We start from the raw sequence: 23073 nt of genomic DNA, 5'->3' as shown, positions 1-23073 counted from the left end.
TTAAATTAAACACACACACGCACAGAGAAAGAGACCAGGCACGCAGAGGCTGTTGGTGCAACGTTTGCTCTTTTATGCACACACTCTCGGGGATCCAGCCACTCATTGTCCCCACCTGCATCTGATTCCAGGCTTCCTGGCTTCAGAAGCCTTTGCTTCCTCCCAGGCCCCACACCTGGCCCTTCCTCCATCCCCCATCCACCCCCACCCCACTTCCTTCCCCACCGCCCTCCTTACCCCTGCTCAGTCCCCAGGAGTCGGATTCAGCTGTCCAGAAACTCTTCAGGGCAAAGAAAGGTCCAGTGCCCAGTCAGTGGGACACCACCCAAAGCCAAATCCCCTCTGCCCTACCTCTCCCCTAGTCCTTACCCACGGCCCCAGTGGGCCTACCCCTGCCCCAGTGCCCTCTGCCAGGGATTCCTGGCGAGTTGCTGGCAACCTCAGCATCCCTTCCTGCCAGCTCCACCCAGCCCAGTCCTCGGGGAGCCGCCTGGAACAGGACAAAGGGCAGAGCTCTGGAGTCCCTAGGGCCTGGGTCCAGCCCCTTCCCCACTCCTTTGTGCAGTCACTTGTTTTGTTGGAAATGTCCCCTCTCCTCATCTTTTTATTTATTTTATTTTAATTTTTTTGAGACAGAGTTTCTGTCTTGTTGCCGAGGCTGGAGTGCAATGGTGTGATCTTGGCTCACCGCAACCTCTGCCTCCCAGGTTCAAGCGATTCTCCTGCCTCAGCCTCCCGAGTAGCTGGGACTACAGGCACGCGCCACCATGCCCGGCTAATTTTGTATTTTTAGTAGAGACAGGGTTTCTCCATGTTGGCCAGGCTGGTCTCGAACTCCCGATCTCAGGTGATCCACCGGCCTCAGCCTCCCAAAGTGGTGGGATTACAGGTGTGAGCCACGGCGCCCGGCCCCCACTCCTCATCTTAAAAGATCCCTACCGGCATGGATGCTACCACTTTACCAAGGGGCGGCAGTGCACCAGGCACTGTCCAAAGGCTGAATAAAAAAGGCAAAAGTCCCTGCCCTCAGGGAGTTTACAATCTAGTGAGGGAATCAGAGAGCAAACAATATAAATTCAGGCATGTCTCAGAGATATTTGGGGTTCAATTCCAGACCACTTGATAAAGTGAGTCACACAAATTTGTTGGTTTCCCAGTGCATAGAAAAGTTATGTTTACACTATCCTGTAGTCTATTAAAGTGTACAACAGCATATGTCTAAAAATACCATGTACATATTTTAATTTTTTTTTTTCTGTAGAGACGGAATCTCACTATGTTGCCCAGGCTAGTCTCGAACTCCTAGCCTCAAGTGAGCCTCCTGCTTTGACCTCCCAAAGTGCCAGGATTACAAGCATGAGCTACCACGCCTGGCCCCATACTATGCTAATGATCATCTGAGCCTTCAGCAAATCCTCATCTTTTTGCTGGTGGAGGGTCTTGCCCCAGTGGTGGTGGCTGCTGACTCACGAGGGTGGTGGTTGTAGAAAGTGGCTGTGGCAGTTTCTTAAAATAAGGTAACAATGAACTTTTCTGCTTCGATTCACTCACAAAACTGTTCTCTGTAACATGTGATGCTGTTTGATAGCATTTGGTCCACAGTAGAACTTTCAAAATTGGGGTCAGGCCAGGCACGGTGGCTCACACCTATAATCCCAGCACTTTGGGAGGCCGAGGTGGGCAAATCACCCAAGGTCAGGAGTTTGAGGCCAGCCTGGCCAACATGGTAAAACCCCGTCTCTACTAAAAATACTAAAATTAACCAGGCGCGGTGGCAGGCACCTGTAGTCCCAGCTACTCAGGAGGCTGAGGTAGGAGAATCACTTGAACCTGGGAGGCGGAGGTTGCGGTGAGCTGAGATCGCACCATTGCACTCCAGCCTGGGCAACAAGAGCGAAACTTGTCTCAAAAAAAAAAAAAAATGGGGGTCAGTCCTGTCAAAGCCTGCTGGTGCTCTATCAGCCAAGTCTATGTCATAGTCTAAATCCTTTGTTGCCATTGTTCCTGCTATCAAATGTATTTCTGTTTTTTTATTTTTTTATTTATTTTTTGTAGAGGGGGAGGGTCTCACTATGTTACCCAGGTTGATCTCAAACTGGCCTCAAGCTATCTTCCTGCCTTGGCCTCCCAAAGTGCTGCGATTATAAGTATGAGCCACTGCACCCAGCCTACAAAATGTATTTCTAAATGTATTTCTATTTTTTATTATTTAATAAGACTTAGAGCTGGGCATGGTGGCACATGCCTGTAATCCCAGCTATTCAAGAGGCTGAGGCAGGATGATCACTTGAGGTCCAGTGTTCAAGACCAGGCTAGGCAACACAGCCCTGTCTCTTAAAAAACACAAAAAATTAGCCAGATGCAGTGACTCTCCCAGCTACTCAAGAGGCCAAGGCAGGAGGATCTCTTGAGGCCTGGAATTCAAAACCAGCCTAGGCAATATAGCAAGACTCTGTCTCTAAAAACCTGGAAAAAAAAAAATGAACCAGGCATAGTGGTGCCCATCTGTAGTCCCCACTACTCAGGAGGCTGAAGTAGGAGGATCACTTGAGCCCAGAAGTTCAAGGCTGCAGTGAGGTATGATCGTGCCACTACACTCCAGCCCAGGTGACACAGCAAGAATCCATCTCTAAAACTAAAAATTTTAAAAATAAGAATAACAAATAATAAGACTTAAAAGTTGAAATTGGCCGGGCGCAGTGGCTCACGCCTGTAATCCCAGCATTTTGGGAGGCCGAGGCAGGCGAATCACGAGGTCAGGAGATCGAGACCATCCTAGCTAACATGGTGAAACCCCGTCTCTACTAAAAATACAAAAAATTAGCCAGGTGTGGTGGCGGGCGCCTGTCGTCCCAGCTACTCAGGAGGCTGAGGCAGGAGAATGGCGTGAACCCGGGAGGCGGAGCTTGCAGTGAGCTGAGATTGCGCCACTGCACTCCAACCTGGGCGACAGAGCGAGACTCCGTCTCAAAAAAATATAATAATAATAACAAATAACAAGACTTAAAAGTCGAAATTACTCCTTGGCTGGTGGGCTGCAGAACAGATCATGTGTTAGCGGGCATGAAAACACATTAATCTACTCCACCAGGGCCCTTTGGTAACCACATGCATTGTCATTGAGAAATATTTTGTTGTTTTCTGTGCAGTCCGTCTCAACAGTGGGCTTGAAATATTCAGTAAACCATGCTGTAAACAGACGTGCTGTCATCCAGGCTTTGTTCCATTTAAGAGCATAGGCAGAGTACATTTGGCGTAATCCTGAGGGCCCTAGAATTTCTGGAATGATAAATGAACACCGGCTTCAACTGAGTCACCAGCTGCATTAGCCCCTAACAAGGGGGTCAGCCTGGCCTTGAAGCTTTGGCGCCCAGGCACTGACCTCCCCTCCAGCTAGGAAAGTCCTGGATGGCATCTTCTTCCAATACCTGGTGGTTTTATCTACACTGAAAATATGTTGCTTAATGTAGCCGTCTTCATCAATGATCTTAGCTAGATCTTCTGCATAACTTGCTGCGGCTCCTCCAGCAGCACTTGCTACATCACCTTGCACTTTTTTTTTTGAGACAAAGTTTCACTCTTGTTGCTCAGGCTGGAGTGCAATGGCACGATCTCGGCTCACTGCAACCACCGCCTCCCAGGTTCAAGTGATTCTCCTGCCTCAGCCTCCCAAGTAGCTGGGATTACAGGCATGCGCCACCACGCCCGGCTTCTTTTTTGTATTTTAAGTTGAGATGGGGTTTCTCCATGTTGGTCAGGCTGGTTTCAAACTCCCGACCTCAGGTGATCCACCTGCCTCAGCCTCCCAAAGTGCTGGGATTACAATCGTGAGCCACGATGCCCGGCCGTCACCCTGCACTTTTATGTTACAGAGATGCCTTCTTTCCTTAAATCTCATGAATCCACCTCTGCTAGCTTCCAACCTTTTTTCTGCAGCTTCCTCACCTCTCTCACCCTTCAAAGAATTGAAGAGGGATAGGGCTTCGCTTGGGATTAGGCTTTGGCTTAAGGAAATGTGGCTGGTTTGACCTTCTATCCAGACCGTTCAGACTTTCTCCATATCCACAATAAGCCTAGTTCACTTTTTTTTTTTTTTTCCAGACGGAGTCTCACTCTGTCACCCAGGCTGGAGTGCAGTGGCGCGATCTCGGCTCACTACAAGCTCCGCTTCCCAGGTTCACGCCATTCTCCTGCCTCAGCCTCCCTAGTAGCTGGGACTACAGGCACCCACCACCACGCCCGGCTGATTTTTTGTATTTTTAGTAGAGCTGGGGTTTCACCGTGTTAGCCAGGATGGTCCCGATCTCCTGACTTCGTGATCCGCCCGCCTCGGCCTCCCAAAGTGCTGGGATTACAGGCATGAGCCACCATGCCCAGCTAAGACTGGTTCACTTTCTTATCATTCATGTGTTCACTGGAGTAGCACTTTTAATTACTTTCATGAATTTTTCCTTTGCATTCACAACTTAGCTAACTGGCAGAAGAGGCCTAGTTTTTAGCCCGTTTCAGCACTGGACATGCCTTCCTCACTAAGCTTAATCACTTCTGGCTTTTGATTTAAAATGAGAGACATAAGACTCTTCTTTCACTTGAACACTTTGAGGTCATTGTAGGGTTGTTAATTGGCCTGATTTCTATTTTATTTTATTCTATTTTTCATCTCATTTCATTTATTTGAGACAGACTCTCGCTCTATTTTCCAGGCTGGAGTACAATGGTGTGATCTTGGCTCACTACAACCTCCACCTCCCGGGTTCAAGCGATTCTCCTGCCTCAGCCTCCCGAGTAGCTGGGATTACAGGCACACACCACCATGCCCAGCTAATTTTTGTATTTTTAGTAGAGATGGGGTTTCAGCATGTTGGCCAGGCTGGTCTCAACCTCCTGACCTCAAGTGATCCACCTGCCTCAGCCTCCCAAAGTGCTGGGATTACAGGCATTAGCCACCGTGCCCGGCCTCAATATTGTATGTCTTAGGGAATATGGAGGCTCGAGAAGAGAGATGGGGGAAATGGCTGGTCAGTGGAGCAGTCAGAACACACACAGCATTAATCGGTAAAGTTCGCCCTCTTACGTGGACATGGTTGGTGGTGCCCCCACTCACAATAGTAACACCAGAGATCATTGATCACAGATCATCATAACAAATATAATAATAATGAAAAAGTGTGAAACACTGTGAAAATTACCAGAATGTGACACAGAGACACAAAGTGAGCAACTGCTGTCAGAAAAATGGTGCCAACAGACTGGTTTGACGCAGGGTTGCCACAAACCTTCAATTTGTAAAAAATGCAGTATGTGCGAGGCACAGTGAAGCAAGGTATTCCTGTAGTAAACTGTATAGTATGCTAGATGGTGACAAGTGCCGCAGAGAAAAATCACCCAATACACCATCTCAGGAAGGCCAAGTGAGCCCACAAAGCAAACCACATGCAGAACATGCCGGCCATGGCCCCACTTATAAATTATGTCTCCCACCCTGAGCCAGCAGAACAGCCAAGTGCAGTTTCCAGATGAGGAAAACAGACTCATCCAGGGTCGCCAGCAAGGGCTTGGGCCATCTTTCTTTCCTTTTCTTTTCTTCTTTCCTTTCTTTCTTTCCTTCCTTTCCTTTCTTTCTTTCCTTTCTTTTCTGACAGAGTCTCGCTTTATCGCCAGGCTGGAGTACAGTGGCGTGATCTCAGCTCACTGCAACCTCTGCCTCCTGGGTTCAAGTGATTCTCCTGTCTCAGCCTCCCAATAGTGGGGACTACAGGCATCCACCACCATACCGCTAATTTTTGTATTTTTAGTAGAGACGGGGTTTCAGCATGTTGGCCAGGATGGTCTCGATCTCCTGACCTCGTGGCCCACCCACGTCGGCCTCCCAACGTGCTGGCATTATAGGCATGAGCCACTGTGCCTAGCCCACATCGTCCCATTTTCACAGCTGCAAGCCTAACACTGCCTCCTGAGGCCTCTGTCTATCCATCTGTCTGCCAGCCCTGGGGAGGGGCCGTCCTCTCCTGAGCTAACTAGCCCCTCTGCCCTCGCTCTGCTTCTTCATGCCTTCCTTCCTGCTTCATATATCCACTGAGCACCTGCTATGTGCCAGGTCCCATGATAGGCCCCAGGGCCACCTGGGGGATGACAGTCCGGGACAGAAGATTCACTTCCAGCCAAGCAAATGACCCTGAGGCCTCAGAGCCCCTCAGTCACACAGGCCCCTTTCAAGGCCCTAATCTTTTTTGTTTTGTTTTAAGACAGAGTCTCGCTCTGTCACCCAGGCTGGAGTGCAGTGGCACGATCTTGGCTCAGTGCAAGCTCCGCGTCCCAGGTTCACACCATTCTCCTGCCTCCGCCTCCCGAGTAGCTGGGACTACAGGTGCCCACCACCATGCCCGGCTAATTTTTTTGTATTTTTAGTAGAGACGGGGTTTCACCGTGTTAGCCAGGATGGTCTTGATCTGCTGACCTCATGATCCGCCCGCCTCGGCCTCCCAAAATGCTGGGATTACAGGCGTGAGCCACCACGCCTGGCCCAAGGCCCTAATCTTGTATTTGTAATTCTGTATTTCTTCTTCCTAAAGGGCCACACCCCGGTACCTTATAAGTTTCATGGCTCCATAAAACCTAGTCCTGTCCTGGGGGAGATGAACAAACACGTAAACAAATTATAAAGTGTCAAATGGCAGGATGGAACAGAACTAAATATCATGGCAGAAAATAACGGGGGCGTGCATATCTTAGCTGGGGAGAAGCAACTGGGGAGTACCTCTTGGAAGTGACAAGCTGAGGCCAGACAAGGAATCTGTGGAATGACACGGGTGAATGACATGGGTGAGGAATCTCTCTCTCTGAGCCTCTGTTTCCCTGTGTGAGGTGGGGATGCCAGTCACAGCAGGGTGGGCTGAGAGGGGTAAGTGGCAGGTCCAGGTTACCCAGTGTGGTCACACCACCCAGTAGGACCGACAGGCAGCTCAGGCCCCTAGCTGAGCCTGGCACTGCCCTTAATCGGCTTTTGTCCTTCCAGGAGGGACAGGCAGGGCTGGCTACCTCCTCTCTCCCCCCAACAGCTGGGGCTGGCTGTGCCAGGGCCAGACTAGGAGGCGGGAGCTGAGATCACTGGGCCTTTGGCTCCCTGAGTCCTCTCTGGGGACAGAGAGGGCAGCCTGGCTGGGTGAGAGGGGACGGTTTGTTCAGGACTGGGGCTAGGACTCCTGGGTCCTAAAGGATGAAGGGGCTGGGGGCCTGGACTCCTGGGTCTGAGGGAGGAGGGGCTGTGGGTGTGGACTCCTGGGTTCTAAGGCAGAGGAGCCTGTAACAGGACTACCAGTTGAGCTGAGTCTGGGAGCAGGTGGGGGGCAGAGCAGGGAGCTGAGCCCTCTACTCTGTTTACAGCACGTGGTCCTCACTGATCTTTCTGGGTGGGAGGTGGCTTGTGCGGCTACACCCTGGGCAGGCCAGCCCCGCCCCCGGGTTTATTGCCCCAGGCTGCTACTGGCACAAGCCACAGACCAGCAGTCCCAGCCCAGGGAAGCTCGGAAGATGCCTAGGAGGGGTGAGTGTCCAGCCAGCTGAGAGACGGGAATGGCCGCTGCCAGGCCCCAGGACCTAGAAGGGAAAGGAAATACCTTCTTCTAGGGGAACAGGCAAGGTGCTGGGCTTTGGGAGGGAAGTCACTGGAGCAGATGGTAGCATTCCACCAAGGGCAGCTTGTTCAGGACCTGGGTGACAGGGCATCCAAGAAACAGGGCAGCCTGAATGGCTGGGAAAGGATATCAGAGGAAAGATCACTGGGGACTGGAAAGTGTGGAGATCAGACGTAGTCCAGGGCAAGTTTTGAGATGTGGCTTCCAGAGTCCTAGCGGGGAGCCCCACATAAGTGTGGCTGTGGACCCAGAGAGCTGGGTTTACAAAAGCTCTGCCACTTGCAGTGCAACTTTAACCTCCTCACTTAAAACCTGAGCCTCAGTTTCCTCTCCTGTAAAATGGGGATGCTGGCAATAATAGAGATTTGAACCTAGGTGGTGTGGGTCCCAGAGGGTTAGCACGCTAAAGCAGCAAACACACAGAAAGCTCTCAGCACGGGACCTGCACGGATATGCTCAAGGTCGACACCAGTGATGAGTATCGCTGTTCCAGGCAGGGGAGCAGGGCCGGCCATGCAACCCAGGACCAGTGGACAAGCCTGAAGGCCAGGGGACCCCACTGGGGGAGAAGCAAGACTGAGTTTTGGGGATCTCACAGAGAAACAGGGAGGGAACTGGGATTTGGAGGGGGTTCCACAGCCAGACTTGAAGGATGAGGAATGACTCTTCAGTGAAGTCTAGAATTGTGAACTCCTGAGTTCAGGGAGAGCTGCGCTTGGGGACCAGGGTCCCGAGAGATGGGAATGGGAGGGCTGGGGCTGAACTCTCCCAAATGTTGTTGGAGGGGAAGGGCCTATGGGTAGCACTTGGGGCCTAAGAAGGAAAGATGGGATGGGGGACCCGGACTCCTGGGTCCTGAGAATGGGGACCAACTGGAGGTTTAGACTTCTTGGAATCTAGGAGAAGGAGTCTTGGGCCCCAGGAGAATTCATGGAGACAGGTGACTAGACTCTTGGGTTCCTGGAAGGAAGAAAGAAGGACCGGCAGCCTCCTGGATCACAGGAGAGGTGAATGAGTTAGGGAAGCAGAGTCGTGTGGGCTCAGGGAATGTCCGGATTCAGGAGGCCAGGGCAGCAAGTTTCTGAGTCCCAAAGAGGTGATAGCAGGGGCTCCTGGGTCCTGAAGAGGAAGGGCTTGGGGCTTGGACTCCTGGGTCTGAGGGAGGAGGGAGCTGAGGGCCCAAACTCCTGGCTCCCGAGGAGGGACAAAGGCACTGGGAACTGGGGCCCCAAACTTCTGATTCCCAGAGACAAGAGGGTGACCTCTTATGTCTAAGGGAGGAGGAACCTGGGGTCCTGGGCCCCTGGAACTGAAAGAAGACAGCACTGAGGTTTGAAGGAGGAGTGGGTAAGCTATGGCCCAGACTCCTGGGCCCCAGCTAAGCAAGGCTTGATCCAGCCCCACCTAACAGGCCTCCCCACCTGCCCACAGCCTCAAGGCTCATCCACAACATGGACCTGCGCACAATGACACAGTCGCTGGTGACTCTGGCGGAGGACAACATAGCCTTCTTCTCGAGCCAGGGTCCTGGGGAAACGGCCCAGCGGCTGTCAGGCGTTTTTGCCGGTGTACGGGAGCAGGCGCTGGGGCTGGAGCCGGCCCTGGGCCGCCTGCTGGGTGTGGCGCACCTCTTTGACCTGGACCCAGAGACACCGGCCAACGGGTACCGCAGCCTAGTGCACACAGCCCGCTGCTGCCTGGCGCACCTCCTGCACAAATCCCGCTATGTGGCCTCCAACCGCCGCAGCATCTTCTTCCGCACCAGCCACAACCTGGCCGAGCTGGAGGCCTACCTGGCTGCCCTCACCCAGCTCCGCGCTCTGGTCTACTACGCCCAGCGCCTGCTGGTTACCAATCGGCCGGGGGTACTCTTCTTTGAGGGCGACGAGGGGCTCACCGCCGACTTCCTCCGGGAGTATGTCACGCTGCATAAGGGATGCTTCTATGGCCGCTGCCTGGGCTTCCAGGTGAGCCCCCTGCCCCGTGCCCCTCTGGGCCCACAATGAAGGCACCTGGTGGCCCCTGGCCTGGCCTATAGTATGGTAAAGTAACCAGTGGTCAGCATTATCGGACTCAGCAAACAGCAGGTACAGAAAGGAGAAGTTGGCTGGAGCTCAGACAGAGCTGCACCAGGGGTCTCAAACTCATGGTCCCTAGGTCATATCTGCTAGGTGGTAAGAAATGCAACTTGCAGAGCTTTTTTCACCAGGATATCCACTACTCTCTATTGTCCTACATGCAAGAGATGTATTCACTCTTTGTTACCTGTCTGGCCCCTGAAGTCACTTGAGTTTGAGACCCCTCAGGGAGGGATCTGGAGCCATGTGACCCTATAGTCATTCTGGCCCTCTCTGGGCCTCCCCGCACCTCAGCCTCCCCCTCCCACCCCACATCTCCAGGCTTCCCTTCAGGCTAGCCTATCCTCAGCAACCCAGCCCAGGCATTCCTGGAAACCTCCCCTCACCAGGGCTGAACCCACAAGTATTGATCAGCCCAGCTGGGCCAGCCAGCTCCTCCCTGTGTCCCAGCCGTGACCCTAGAGTCATGAGAAAGAGATCCCGGGGCTGCCCAAACCAGCATCCCAGCCACAATAGCCAGGCATCAGGTGCCCTCTGGCCTACTGGGCGCACAGCCAGGGGCAGGGCCCAGCTCTGCCTTGGTGCAGGGCAGTCTCCCCTTTAAAATGTCCGTCCCCGGGAGGGCAGAGGCCTCCCCTGTCTTGGTCACTGCTCCAGCCCAGTGTCTAGCATGCAGTAGGAACTTGGCCAGTACAGAGTGAACAGAAGAACCCGCCAATCCCTTGCCTTGGCCTCCTATGGCTCCATTTCCTCTAATCCTGTGTCCCCATTGTATTTTTTTTTTTTTTTTTTTTTGTATTTTGTTTAGTAGAGATGGGGTTTCACCATGTTGGCCAGGCTGGTCTCAAACTCCTGACCTCAAGTGATCCACCCACCTTGGCCTCCCAAAGTACTGGGTTTACAGGCATGAGCCACTGCACCTGGACCCCACTGTCTTTCCTTAACTGCCTGTCTGCTCTGTCAGACGCTGTCTCTCCCTGCCCCCGTGGTGGCTGGCTGGTCCTATGTCTAGGCCTCAGTCTCCCTCTCTGACTGTCTTTCTGCCTCAGGTCCCTGTGCCTGGGGGGCTGTCTCTGGCCATCTCCCTGTTCCTGTCTTCCAGCTGCCTCCTCTCCCCATCCATCCTCTCTCTGACTTTCAGGAAGTCCCTGCACCATCCTACTCCCCACCTCACAGCCTACCAGTGGCACCACCCCGCACTGGGAATGAAATCCAAATTCCTCTGCCCAGGCCCTATATGAGCCCCCTTTGCCTCTCCAATGTCACCACCTGCCCCTCTCCCCACTGCTCACTCTGCTCCAGCCACACTGGCCCCCTGACTGTCGCTACCCAGGTCAAGCACCAAGCATGAGCTCACCTTTTTTTTTTTTTAGAGACAGAGTCTCGCTCTGTCGCCCAGGCTGGAGTGCAGTGGTGTGATCTCCACTCACTGCAACCTCTGCCTCCTGGGTTCAAGCGATTCTCCTGCCTCAGCCTCCTATGAGCTCACCTTTAAGCCTTCATGCTCTCTGTTCCCTGTGCAGGGAACACCCTCCCCTCGCTTCAGTCAGATCTCTCCTCCGAGACCCGCTAAGTAGCCTGACCCCTAGTCATCACTGGTGCCCTCTCCACCTACTGCCTTTTTTTTTTTCCAAACCATTCGTCATTCCTTGTCATGATACTGCGCGTGGCTTTGCTTATCTGCTGATCATTTGTTTTCCCTTTGAGAACATCAGGTCCGTGAACCAGCCGAGAGCTATGCCCAGCACACAGTAGGAGCTCATGAAACGTTTACTGAATGAATGTGTCTTCCCCGCACATCCCTGTGCCTCGCTCCTGCCCTGTCCCCATCCCTCTCTTGAGCGGTGGGTGACGCAGCCGCGTCTCTCCACAGTTCACGCCTGCCATCCGGCCATTCCTGCAGACCATCTCCATTGGGCTGGTGTCCTTCGGGGAGCACTACAAACGCAACGAGACAGGCCTCAGTGAGTCCCAGCCAGGTTCTACTCGCAGCCTACTCTCTTGGCCCTCCTCCCCACTCCTGCCCAAGCAGCCTGACCCACTGGGGCTCCCTGACACCCCTTCTGACCCCTAGGTGTGGCCGCCAGCTCTCTCTTCACCAGCGGCCGCTTTGCCATCGACCCCGAGCTGCGTGGGGCTGAGTTTGAGCGGATCACACAGAACCTGGACGTGCACTTCTGGAAAGCCTTCTGGAACATCACCGAGATGGAAGTGCTATCGGTGAGGGCCTGTTGCAGATGGGGACACTGAGGCCCAGAGACTCATCTGAGGCCACAGTAGGTCTCTGTGGGGCTCCAGGCCCAGGGATGGCACACAAGGGGAAAGACTGGGGATCAGAGGGAGAGGTGAAGGGCACCCCTGCAGGCAGACCTTCCCTAGCACCCCTTCTGTCCCCTCCCTCCAGTCTCTGGCCAACATGGCATCGGCCACCGTGAGGGTAAGCCGCCTGCTCAGCCTGCCACCCGAAGCCTTTGAGATGCCACTGACTGCCGACCCCACGCTCACGGTCACCATCTCACCCCCACTGGCCCACACAGGCCCTGGGCCCGTCCTCGTCAGGCTCATCTCCTATGACCTGCGTGAAGGACAGGTAGGGTTCCAGCCTCAGCCAGGGACAGGGACAGAGCCGAGGAGCGTGGGCAGCCCCCACCTTGGCATCCCCATGGAGGGGTGCAGCCCTGGCCAGCTCTCCCCAACCTCACACACCGTCTCCCTCCTCACCCCCAGGACAGTGAGGAGCTCAGCAGCCTGATAAAGTCCAACGGCCAACGGAGCCTGGAGCTGTGGCCGCGCCCCCAGCAGGCACCCCGCTCGCGGTCCCTGATAGTGCACTTCCACGGCGGTGGCTTTGTGGCCCAGACCTCCAGATCCCACGAGCCCTACCTCAAGAGCTGGGCCCAGGAGCTGGGCGCCCCCATCATCTCCATCGACTACTCCCTGGCCCCTGAGGCCCCCTTCCCCCGTGCGCTGGAGGAGTGCTTCTTCGCCTACTGCTGGGCCATCAAGCACTGCGCCCTCCTTGGTGAGCCTCAGGCCCCCACAGCCACCTGCGCCTGCTCCCATCCCACCCAGCTTGCTTTAAGCTCCTCCAGCCTCAGCCTCACACCCTCTACCTTTCTCTCCCCCCACACCTCCCAGCTCCTGCTCACCCAGGTCCTGCCCAATCTTCCACCTCAGCCACTTTATCCTCTGTCCCCAACTGTGGCACCCAGACTCTCCATCTCCTCCACCTCCACTTCCCACCCACCGTCCTGTCTCCCTGGGCCTCTGTCGTCCCCCTCTGATAGCTCCAGGCCCTGCTCTCCTGTCCTACCAGCCTCCTGGCCCACAGTCCAGCTTCTCTGACCTCCCTCTTCGAAGATCAACATCTTGGGAGGACACTGAGGCACAGAGCAGAGTGTGGCCATGCCCCAGGGCACAGAGCTTGCAGCCCAGCCCCTCTGTACTGACCCTGAACCCTGACCTTCCATTCCCGCCCTCTGAGGCCCCCCTCCTGCAACAGGCCTGAGCTCAGCTCCCCTTTCCCACCACCTGCCCTCCCTGCTCCCAACCTCCAGCCCCGACAGACTTTCCCAGTGCTTCCCTGGGCCTCTCCAGGTCCTGAGTCATCCTGACCCTCTGTCTACCACATGAGCCCAAATCTGTGCCTCAGTCTGCCAGTCTCTAAAACTGCAGTCTGCTAGGCCTTGGAGTGCCCCACACCCCACCTTGGAGAGCCCAGTTCTCCCAGCTTGAGTTCCTCCCTGCCCTCCTCCCCAGGCCTCTGCCCCTGCCAGGTTGTCACCAACCACCCCTCTCCCAAACCAGGCTCAACAGGGGAACGAATCTGCCTTGCGGGGGACAGTGCAGGCGGGAACCTCTGCTTCACCGTGGCTCTTCGGGCAGCAGCCTACGGGGTGCGGGTGCCAGATGGCATCATGGCAGCCTACCCGGCCACAATGCTGCAGCCTGCCGCCTCTCCCTCCCGCCTGCTGAGCCTCATGGACCCCTTGCTGCCCCTCAGTGTGCTCTCCAAGTGTGTCAGCGCCTATGCTGGTGAGGCCCACACCCTCAGCAGGGAAACAGGACTGCATGGATGTCTGACTCCTGCAGGGACGGGCTGGGGACCAGGACTCCTGTGACTGAGGAAGGAGAGGCCAGGCAGAGGAATCTAAGACTCCTTGTCCCTTTTTTTTCGTGTGTGTGTGTGTGTGTGTGTGTGTGTGTGTGTGTGTGTGTGAGAGAGAGAGAGAGACAGACAGACACAAGGTGTCATGTCGCTCAGGCTGAGTGCAGTGGCTCAAACACACCTCACTGCAGCCTTGACCTCCCAGGCTGAAGCAATCATCCTGCCTCAGCTTCCCAAGTAGCTGGAACTACAGGCGTGCACCACCACTACCACGCCCAGCTAATTTTTGTGTTTTTCGCTATGTTGCCCAGGCTGGTCTTGAACTCCTGGGCTCAAGCCATCCTCTCGCCTTGGCCTCCCAAAGTACTGGGACTACAGGCGTGAGCCACTGCGCCCAGCCTCCTTATCCCTTTTGAAGCGATTGGATATTCTCGGGTCCCTGGGACCACAGATGCCTGAAGTTCTGGGCGTTAAAACTGGGCCCAGAAAGGGGAAAACAACTCAGCTACCCACATATATTCTGCAGGTGCAAAGACGGAGGACCACTCCAACTCAGACCAGAAAGCCCTCGGCATGATGGGGCTGGTGCGGCGGGACACAGCCCTGCTCCTCCGAGACTTCCGCCTGGGTGCCTCCTCATGGCTCAACTCCTTCCTGGAGTTAAGTGGGCGCAAGTCCCAGAAGATGTCGGAGCCCATAGCAGGTGAGTGATTCACTCCCGTCACATGCCCAGCCAGGGTGGGCAGGAGGGACAGCCTAGCACAGCAAAAGTCCCAGGGAAGATGCTGGGCATGGTGGTTCAGACCTGCAATCCCAGCACTTTGGGAGGCTGAGGTGGGCAGATCACTTGAGGTCAGGGGTTCAAGATCAGCCTGGTCAACATGACGAAACCCTGTCTCTAGTAAAAGTACAAAAATATTAGCCAGGTGTGGTGGTGCACACCTGTAATCCCAGCACTTTGGGAGGCCAAGGTGGGCAGATCACTTGAGGTCAGGAGTTCGAGACCAGCCTGGCCAATATGGCAAAACCCCTTCTCTACAAAAAAATAAATTAGCAGGGTATGGTGGAGTACACCTGTAGTCCCAGCTACCAGAGAGGCTGAAGCATGAGAACCGCTTGAACCTGGGTAGCAGAGGTTGCAGTGAGCCAAGACTGAGCCTCTGTACTCCAGCCTGGGTGACACAGCGATACCTTGTCTCAAAAAAAAAAATTTAAAAAAAGAGTACGCTTACTGGGCTGTGGTGAGGTCTGCCTCCAACCATTTGGCCAGTACAATATATGGCACCCAGTAGGTGCTATTAGAAGATGCCAGCACCCCTGGTGTGTCCATTCTGTTCCAGTGACCCTCTGGGCCACAAAGTACTTAAGTAGTTATTCTCACATTGTTTTGCACCTCACCTTCGTAGATTTATAAAGACAAGTAAGGCTGGGTGTGGTGGCTTACGCCCATAATCCCAACACTTTGGGAAGCCAAGGCAGGCGGATCACTTGAGGTCAGGAGTTCAAGACCAGCTTGGCCAACATAGTGAAACCCCATCTCTATTAAAAATACAAAAATGGGCCAGGCGCAATGGCTCATACCTGTAATCCCAGCACTTTGGGAGGCCGAGGCGGGCAGATCACGAGGTCAGGAGTTTGAGACCAGCCTGACCAACATGGTGAAACCCCATCCCTACTAAAAATACAAAAATTAGCCGGGCATGGTGGCATGCATCTGTAATCCCAGCTACTCAGGAGGCTGAGGCAGGAGAATCACTTGAACCCAAGAGACGAGGTTGCAGTGAGCCGAGATCACGCCACTGCACTCAAGCCTGGGTAACAGAGTGAGACTGTCTCAAAAAAAAAAAAAATACAAAAAGTAGCTGGACATGGTGGCATGCCTGTAATCCCAGCTACTCAGGAGGCTGTGGCGGGAGAATTGCTTGAACCCGGGAGGCAGAGGTTACAGTGAGCCGAGATCGCACCACTGCACTCCAGCCTGGGCAACAGAGCAAGACTCCATCTCAAAAAAAAAAAAAAAAAGTAAAAAACTAAAACTGTAGCATCTTGGCCCTCATGGTAGGCAGTGTGGGTCTGATAAAATGAACAGAGCTGAGGCCAAGCTGGGCACGCCAGGTGGGCTGGAAGTGTATCTTTAGCATCGTTTGGGCACTTGCTTGCCTGGTCACGTGAACGGATAAAACTGAAGAACACAAAGGAAATGTGGGGAAGCAGATCCATGTGGCTACAGGTGCCAGACCCCTAGAAATGTGATACACCCTGGAGACTTGTTAGCTCCCTGTGAACAGAGCCTCCCTTCAAGCCACTGGGCCTGCTTACTATTCAAATCATTTTGATCCATTTACACCTTGTGGTAAGTGTAATCCCAGCACTATGGGAGGCCGAGGCGAGCGGATCACTTGAGGCCAGGAATTCGAGAACAGCCTGGCCAACATGGCGAAACCCCATCTCTGCTAAAAAAAAAACACAAAAATTAGCCGGGCATGGTGGCACATGCCTATAGTCCCAGCTACTCAGGAAGCTGAGGCACGAGAATCACTTGAACCTGGGAGGTGGAGGTTGCAGTGAGCCATGTTCTTGCCACTGCACTCCAGCCTGGGTGACAGAGCGAGACTTTGTCTCAAAAAAAAAAAAACAAAAAACGATATATTATGATCCCCAGTGGGTAGCGGTACCTAATCCCACATCTTATCCCACTGAGTCCTGCCACCTATGAACCAAGGACTATTTTCATTTCCTTGATCTAGAAGAAAAAATAGGTTCCTAGAGGTAAACTGCACCTAATCTTCCCAGTCACACACACACACACACACACACACACACACACACACACACACACACACACATCCTTCACTAGAACACACTGCCCCACTGCCAAGACCCCCACCATGACCACCTGGGGCATCTGGAACTCCACCCATCCCCTAGGCAAGAGTCTGGGGAAACACAGCCTTTCACAGCGCTCCACAGGCGACTGCCCTTCCCATGGCATTCCCTGCCAGCCACACACACAACCAAACTAACGGAGCCAGGCCTATCTGCTCTCCCTCTCTCAGAGCCGATGCGCCGCAGTGTGTCTGAAGCAGCACTGGCCCAGCCCCAGGGCCCACTGGGCACGGATTCCCTCAAGAACCTGACCCTGAGGGACTTGAGCCTGAGGGGAAACTCCGAGACGTCGTCGGACACCCCCGAGATGTCGCTGTCAGCTGAGACACTTAGCCCCTCCACACCCTCCGATGTCAACTTCTTATTACCACCTGAGGATGCAGGGGAAGAGGCTGAGGCCAAAAATGAGCTGAGCCCCATGGACAGAGGCCTGGGCGTCCGTGCCGCCTTCCCCGAGGGTTTCCACCCCCGACGCTCCAGCCAGGGTGCCACACAGATGCCCCTCTACTCCTCACCCATAGTCAAGAACCCCTTCATGTCGCCGCTGCTGGCACCCGACAGCATGCTCAAGAGCCTGCCACCTGTGCACATCGTGGTGAGCGACAGAGGGGGCCGGTACAGGTGCATTTAGAGAAGAGCAGGGCACCCGGGGAGGAGGGGGACCGGGCACGGGTACACCTGGGAAAAAGAGCTCCGGAGTGGGGAGAAAGGGACAGGCGTGTCCCCAGGGGAGAACAATGCCCCGAACGAACGGGAGGAGGACAAGAGTCAGGGCTGCCTCCGTTTTACTTTGCAATTTTGAGTACCAAGAGACAGGATCAGTGGGGCAGCCCCTTGGGCTTGGAGAATCAAGAGAAAAAAAAGGTGGGTTTGGCGGGGTGGGGAGGGAGAGGCTGGAGAGAGGCCGGGGATCGCAGTTAAAGTCATTCTCCCATCCTTCCCACAACTCCCCCCATTCCCTCCATTCTCTCCCCAACTCCTCACCCACCATGTCTCCTGCCTCCGTCCACTCCGTCTGTATCCGTATTTCCCGCTCCCTTTGTTCATCAAACCCCTCCTCGCTCTACCCGACCCCGGTCTGTCTGTCCCCCACCCTCTCTCCACGTCCCTCCCCGCTGTCCCGTAGGCGTGCGCGCTGGACCCCATGCTGGACGACTCGGTCATGCTCGCGCGGCGACTGCGCAACCTGGGCCAGCCGGTGACGCTGCGCGTGGTGGAGGACCTGCCGCACGGCTTCCTGACCCTAGCGGCGCTGTGCCGCGAGACGCGCCAGGCCGCAGAGCTGTGCGTGGAGCGCATCCGCCTCGTCCTCACTCCTCCCGCCGGAGCCGGGCCGAGCGGGGAGACGGGGGCTGCGGGGGTAGACGGGGGCTGCGGGGGGCGACACTAAAAGCCTGTTGTTCCCATCTGCGCCGGCCTCCGTCATGAATGCCTTCCGGGCCGGGCGGAAGGGGACGCGGGCTGTGCCTTACTTAAGTCGGGGGTGGCAAGGGGGCGGGGCGGGGGCCCGAAAGCTGAGACCCTCGCCACGGGGAGGGGGACGCGCACACACACCGGTCACCGAGACGGCTGGACCTGCACGCCACCGCTGCCTTTTGCTGCTGCTGCTGCGGCGACCGCCGCAGGGACGGGGACTGGCCCTCCCTTGCAGGTCGGTTTGGTTTGTTGTAAATAAAAGTATTTAATTAGTTTGGCCTCTCTCAAATACGGTGGGGTGTTTGCCCACCAGGGGGCAGCATCGGACTCAAGCGGCTGGGAACCAAGAAACCTGGAATGAGGGGTATGGGGGACTGGATTTTTGGGACCAGAAGGGAGTGGACTCCTTGGTAACCCGGACCCACCTCCCCTCGGACTTCATCCAGGTACACTGCCAGGAGATGCTGGGTCCTCAGCTCCTCCCCTTGAAGACCTTCGGTTAGCTGGACTCACCCTGGTCCCAGGGAGACCAGGCTCAGCATCCATCAGGGGGATATAAAAGTTAAAAATAATCTCTCGGGTCTCAAAGGCTCCAGTGACCCAAACACCCTACAGAACTGGAGCAAAGTTAGCAGGAAATCAGAAACAAACTGGCGCTCAAAATACTGTAAATGCAGCCGGGCACGGAGGTTCACGCCTGTAATCCCAGCACTTTGGGAGGCAAGACAGGAGGATAGCTTGAGTCCAGGGGTTTGAGACCAGCCTGGGCAACATAGACCAGTCTCTACAAAAACATTTAAAAATTAGCCGGGCGTGGTGGCACACTCCTGCAGTCCTACCTACTCAGGAGGGTGAGGCAGGAGGATCACTTAAGCCCAGGAGTTCGAGGTTGCAGTGAGCTATGATCGCACCACTGCACTCCAACTTGGGCAAGAGTGGGACCCTGTTTCCAAAAAAACAAAAACTGGAAATGCAAGCTCTGTCCAGCTGTGACAATCAACTCTTGGACCAACTCTCTGGCCCCTTGTAAGCCCTGAGTTTGGAGTTGAGATGATTTATACCCAAGACATGCCTTCAAAGGGCTTCTGATCCTGGATTCAGAGAGGGTGGAAGAACAGACACAGGCTGTCACAGTCCCCAGGGGTTCCACCTGTGGTAGTCAGGGAGGGCTTCACAGAGGTGGTGATCTGAGCTTGACACTACAGGATGAACAAAAGTCTGCTAGGAAGAAAAAACATGCCAGGTTGTGAGAGCCAGCTGGCAGTGATCAAAGCTGCCACCTGGCTAGAAAAAGCTTCCACCTGACCAGAAGGTCAGGTGCAAAGTGGGGAGGGGCGTGAGGGGCCTGGAGTGGTCAGCAGGAGCAGGGCCTGAAGAGCCTGGAGTACGATTTGGACTAAACTGGAGGGCAGTGGGGAGCCACAGGAGCACTTTGAGCAGGAAAGGGCCAGGGTCAGCTCAGGGCACTGAAAGATCCTGCTGGGACACTGGGGGATGGACAGAAAAGGGCAAAACTGGAGTCCTACAGGCCAAGGAGGATGCCTGAGCTGGGGCAGGAGCCGTAAGGGTAGGGAGTGTAGGTGTAGCATCCCAGAGCCATAAAAGGTGGGAAGGACAGCACCTACTGATGAGGTTACAGGACAGCAAGGGGACAGAGATGACACCCAGGTCTGGCCATGGAAGCAGGTGGACAGTGAAGCTGTCTCTTCAATGGGAGGAGGCTCAGGTGTGTGTGTGACAGGTGGGACCTGTGGAGGGCCATTCTGGACATGGTGAGCTGGAAGGTCTCAGGAAGACAATCCAGGAGACAACAAGGGTCAGAAGTGCAGTCTGGGGCTGGGTGTGGTGGCTCACACCTGTAATCCCAGCACTTTGGGAGGCTGAGGCGGGTGGATCACCTGAGGTCAGGAGTTCAAGACTAGCCCAGCCAACATGGTGAAACACTGTCTCTACTAAAAATACAAAAATTAGCCAGGTGTGGTGGTGCACGCCTGTAATCCCAACTAACTGAGAGGCTGAGGCAAGAGAATCGCTTGAACCTGGAAGGCAGAAGTTGCAGTCGGCCGAGACTGCACCACTGCACTCCAGTCTGGGCAATAGAATGAGACTCTGCCTCAAAAAAAAAAAAAAATGCAGTCTAGGTGGAACCAAGGGACTAGAACCTTTCCAGGAAGCCTGGGCAGGTGGGACAAGCAACAAGAGGGCCAGGACAGAGACAGCCCTGAGGATCACACCCCTAGTAAAGGGGTGGGCGGGGGTGGGCAGTGGAAGGCAAGGCTGGCGGGTTCTAAGGAGCAGCCAGAGAGGGAGGAAGCTGCCCAGGAAGGAGGATGTAGGGTGAAGGGAGTTTCAGGGAGTGGACCAGGTCAGATGAGGATTGAAATGTTACCCTCAGGTGTCAGCAATGAGCAGGTGACCTCAGTGACCTTGTCCAGAGCCACTGCAGGGTCATGGCCGTTAGGCAGCCAGACATAGTGGGTTGAAGAGGGAGTGGAAGGTAAGGGATTGAGCCAGTGGGCGCCACAAGAGAGCCTGATACAGGGCACATGTGTTTAGAGATGATGGACATGTTTGAATGCTGGAGGAGTGGGAGAGACTGAAGATGCAGAAACAAGAAAGCCGTTTCCTCACGGGGTGCGAAGCAAGGGATCCTCAGCTCAGAGGTCCTCGTTCACCCAGCAAGTGACTTCTGAGTCAGGGCCTGTGCTGGGGCAGGGAGCTGTAGCCCAGAACTCTTCCTGAAGGTCCAGATCCACTGGCCTGAGTCACCACTCTCCTTGTCCAACTCATAGAACCCCTTGGTCACCTCTGTCAAAACAGTCACTACCCATCAACCTGCTCCTCTTTTCCTGTCCCCACCTCAGAGATGGCTCCACTGTCCTCCAGACTAGAGCTCTGGGTCTCATGCTGGACAACCCCTTGTCCCATAGCCCATCAATCCCCACTTTCTGTTCTCTCTGCCTCCTGAATCTCCTTATTTATTTTTCTTTCTTTCTTTTTTTTTTTTTTTTTTTTTGAGATAAGGTCTCACTCTTGTGCAGGTTGGAGTGCAGTGGCACCATCTTGGCTCACTGCAGCCTCGACTTCCCGGGCTCAAGTGATCCTCCTGCTTCAGCCTCCTCAGTAGCTTGGACCATAGGCATGCACCACCACACCTGGCTAATTTTTCTTTTTTTTTTTTTTATTTTGAGTCTCACTCTGTGGCCCAGGCTGGGGTGCAGTGGCGCGATCTCAGCTCACTGCAACCTCCCCGTCCTGGGTTCAAGCAATTTTCTGCCTTAGCCTCCCGAGTAGCTGGGATTACAGGTGCCCACCACCAAGCCTGTCTAATTTTTTGCATTTTTAGTAAAGACAGGGTTTCACCATCTTGGCCAGGCTGGTCTTGAACTCCTGACCTCGTGATCCACCCGCCTCGGCCTCCCAAAGTGCTGGGACTACAGGAGTGAGTCACCGCGCCTGGCCACACCTGGCTAATTTTTTGTAGAGATGAGGCTGTCACTATGTTGCCCAGGCTGGTCTTGAACTCCTTGGCTCAAGTGATCTTCCCGCCTCAACTTTCCAAAGTGCTGGGATTACAGACACGAGCCACAGCACCAAGCCTTGCCTCCTGAATCTCTATCTTATCCCCTCGGCCTCTTCCCTGATCCAGGCTCCACTCTCTCCTACCTGAATCCCTGCCAGAGCCACCTCCTGGGCTACTGGCTTCCAGTCTCATTCCTCCAGTTCTGGACCAACTATGACCTTGTCCTCCACTACTCTCAACCCTTCCATGGCTCTCCACTACCCCCTCACCCTCAGGACAAAGTCCAAGCTCCTCAGCCTGGCCTCTGCTCATCTCTTCGGCCTCCTCCAGCCTTACAGTTCCCCTGCTGGCCATACAGACTTGACTGGCCTTCCGCTTAGGCACCTGCACGCAGTACTGCTCCTGCATGCCTCCCTGTCTTTGGTCACGCTGAAACACCCTCCCCACACCCATTTTGCCTGGCATCTCCACTTTGCCTGGCACCTTCTGCTCCTCCAAGATCCAGCTCCAATGGCCCCTCCCCTGGAAACCCTTTCCCGACCACGCCAAACTCAAAAAAGTCTCTCCTGGGCTCCCACCGTCTCCGCACACCCATGCCCATCAACGTCCATCCTCCCATCTGACCCGGGCTCCTTGAGGGCACGGCCCAGGCCTGACTCATCTTGGTCACCAGCATCGCCCAGCACGAGGCTTGGCACACCAGAAGCCTCAGGAAATGTTTGTCTAACTAATAGGTGGGAGAGTGTGTGAGTGAGTGGCTAGACGAGGGAATCCGTGAGTGAGAGAATTGAGGGCAGGAAGGGCAGAACGGATGAAGGAACAGGAAGGCAGGAGCAGACGAGAATCAGGCTTAGGGTGGGAGGAACGGATGGATGAATAACAGATCCAGTATCCCGGTCTCAGTTTCTCCAAGAAAGCAAGATGGGTTCGCCGGGACTGAGCTCCTCCCCCCTCCGCCTCAAGCCTCACTAAGCCTCACGGTTTTCCACCCGAGCTATGTGCAGAATCCTAATACTAGGCGTGCTGGAAAGGGCTTACCCGGCCAGACTCGGAGAACCCGTTCCCTCGCGAGCCCGCTCGGGCCTCTGCGGAGTGGACCAGGATTCCGATCCCTCAGGTTCCGGGTCTATTGGCCGACTGACTGGGCCTGGCAGAGACTGGCGTCTCCGAAAGCCTATCGCTGCCCGAGTTGGGCTGTGGGCCCCGCCTACCAGGCAAAGGGTCCTGAGTGGCCCAGGGAGGTAGAAGGCCGAGTGTCCATTGGCTGGAAGATAGTGACTGACGTCATGGATAGCTTTCGCCGCCAGACTCCAAAGAAGCGCCTCGCGTGTCGGACCCGCCTCCGGAGGGACTGAGTCGGGGTGGGAGCCCTGGGCGTAGACGGTCGCAGAATGGTCGTGAATGGAGTTTCTGGCCCCACATACCTAG

General features: G+C 55.0%; 1 protein-coding gene and 2 long non-coding RNA genes across 17 annotated transcripts in view, besides 6 other annotated features; 1 reads left to right on the top strand and 2 right to left on the bottom strand.

Moving 5' to 3' along the window:
• LIPE (lipase E, hormone sensitive type) overlaps positions 1-18394 on the top strand; it is a 25875-nt gene extending 7481 nt beyond the window's left edge. For 3 of the 15 annotated variants that reach the window (NM_005357.4, NM_001416101.1, XM_006723218.4), the window contains exons 2-10: positions 9066-9601; positions 11586-11676; positions 11787-11932; positions 12117-12302; positions 12440-12734; positions 13520-13747; positions 14347-14523; positions 16877-17301; positions 17833-18394. In NM_005357.4, the coding sequence (NP_005348.2) occupies positions 9066-9601; positions 11586-11676; positions 11787-11932; positions 12117-12302; positions 12440-12734; positions 13520-13747; positions 14347-14523; positions 16877-17301; positions 17833-18096 (2348 nt within the window). In that variant the 3' untranslated portion in view covers positions 18097-18394. Of the gene's footprint in view, positions 1-6798; positions 6823-7383; positions 7640-8425; positions 8642-9065; positions 9602-11427; positions 11692-11786; positions 11933-12116; positions 12303-12439; positions 12735-13519; positions 13748-14346; positions 14524-16876; positions 17302-17832 lie in introns of those variants that run through there. The other 12 variants (XM_005258937.4, NM_001416105.1, XM_005258939.4 and 9 more) reach the window with 11 other exon arrangements.
• Positions 1-22760, bottom strand: part of LIPE-AS1 (LIPE antisense RNA 1) — a 255208-nt gene extending 232448 nt beyond the window's left edge. The window contains exon 1 of the long non-coding RNA NR_073180.1: positions 22684-22760. This is a non-coding gene — a long non-coding RNA (LIPE antisense RNA 1). The remainder of the gene's footprint in view (positions 1-22683) is intronic.
• On the bottom strand, positions 11456-22780 carry LOC101930071 (uncharacterized). The gene is made up of 2 exons (NR_126041.1): positions 22684-22780; positions 11456-11650 (listed from the first exon to the last, which is right to left on the bottom strand). It is a non-coding gene; the product is annotated as an uncharacterized LOC101930071 (long non-coding RNA).
• Positions 12502-13308: an enhancer, noted in NCBI's record as "H3K4me1 hESC enhancer chr19:42910752-42911558 (GRCh37/hg19 assembly coordinates)". NCBI's record gives its function as "activates a minimal SCP1, AML or CMV promoter by ChIP-STARR-seq in naive and primed H9 embryonic stem cells {active_cell/tissue: H9 hESC(naive and primed)}" and the evidence as "EXISTENCE:reporter gene assay evidence [ECO:0000049][PMID:30033119]".
• Positions 18150-18259: a silencer, noted in NCBI's record as "silent region_10714". NCBI's record gives its function as "represses an Ori minimal core promoter by ATAC-STARR-seq in GM12878 lymphoblastoid cells {active_cell/tissue: GM12878}" and the evidence as "EXISTENCE:reporter gene assay evidence [ECO:0000049][PMID:35858748]".
• Positions 21692-22375: an enhancer, noted in NCBI's record as "H3K27ac-H3K4me1 hESC enhancer chr19:42901685-42902368 (GRCh37/hg19 assembly coordinates)". NCBI's record gives its function as "activates a minimal SCP1, AML or CMV promoter by ChIP-STARR-seq in naive H9 embryonic stem cells {active_cell/tissue: H9 hESC(naive)}" and the evidence as "EXISTENCE:reporter gene assay evidence [ECO:0000049][PMID:30033119]".
• Positions 22376-23059: an enhancer, noted in NCBI's record as "H3K27ac-H3K4me1 hESC enhancer chr19:42901001-42901684 (GRCh37/hg19 assembly coordinates)". NCBI's record gives its function as "activates a minimal SCP1, AML or CMV promoter by ChIP-STARR-seq in naive H9 embryonic stem cells {active_cell/tissue: H9 hESC(naive)}" and the evidence as "EXISTENCE:reporter gene assay evidence [ECO:0000049][PMID:30033119]".
• Positions 22376-23073: a biological region, named in NCBI's record as "H3K27ac-H3K4me1 hESC enhancer GRCh37_chr19:42901001-42901684".
• Positions 22914-23073: an enhancer, noted in NCBI's record as "active region_14716". NCBI's record gives its function as "activates an Ori minimal core promoter by ATAC-STARR-seq in GM12878 lymphoblastoid cells {active_cell/tissue: GM12878}" and the evidence as "EXISTENCE:reporter gene assay evidence [ECO:0000049][PMID:35858748]".

The sequence above is a fragment of the Homo sapiens genome, chromosome 19, assembly GCF_000001405.40.
Source record: "Homo sapiens chromosome 19, GRCh38.p14 Primary Assembly".
In the NCBI taxonomy this organism is placed as follows: Eukaryota; Metazoa; Chordata; class Mammalia; order Primates; family Hominidae; genus Homo; species Homo sapiens.
This window is presented reverse-complemented; position numbering and strand designations above follow the sequence as displayed.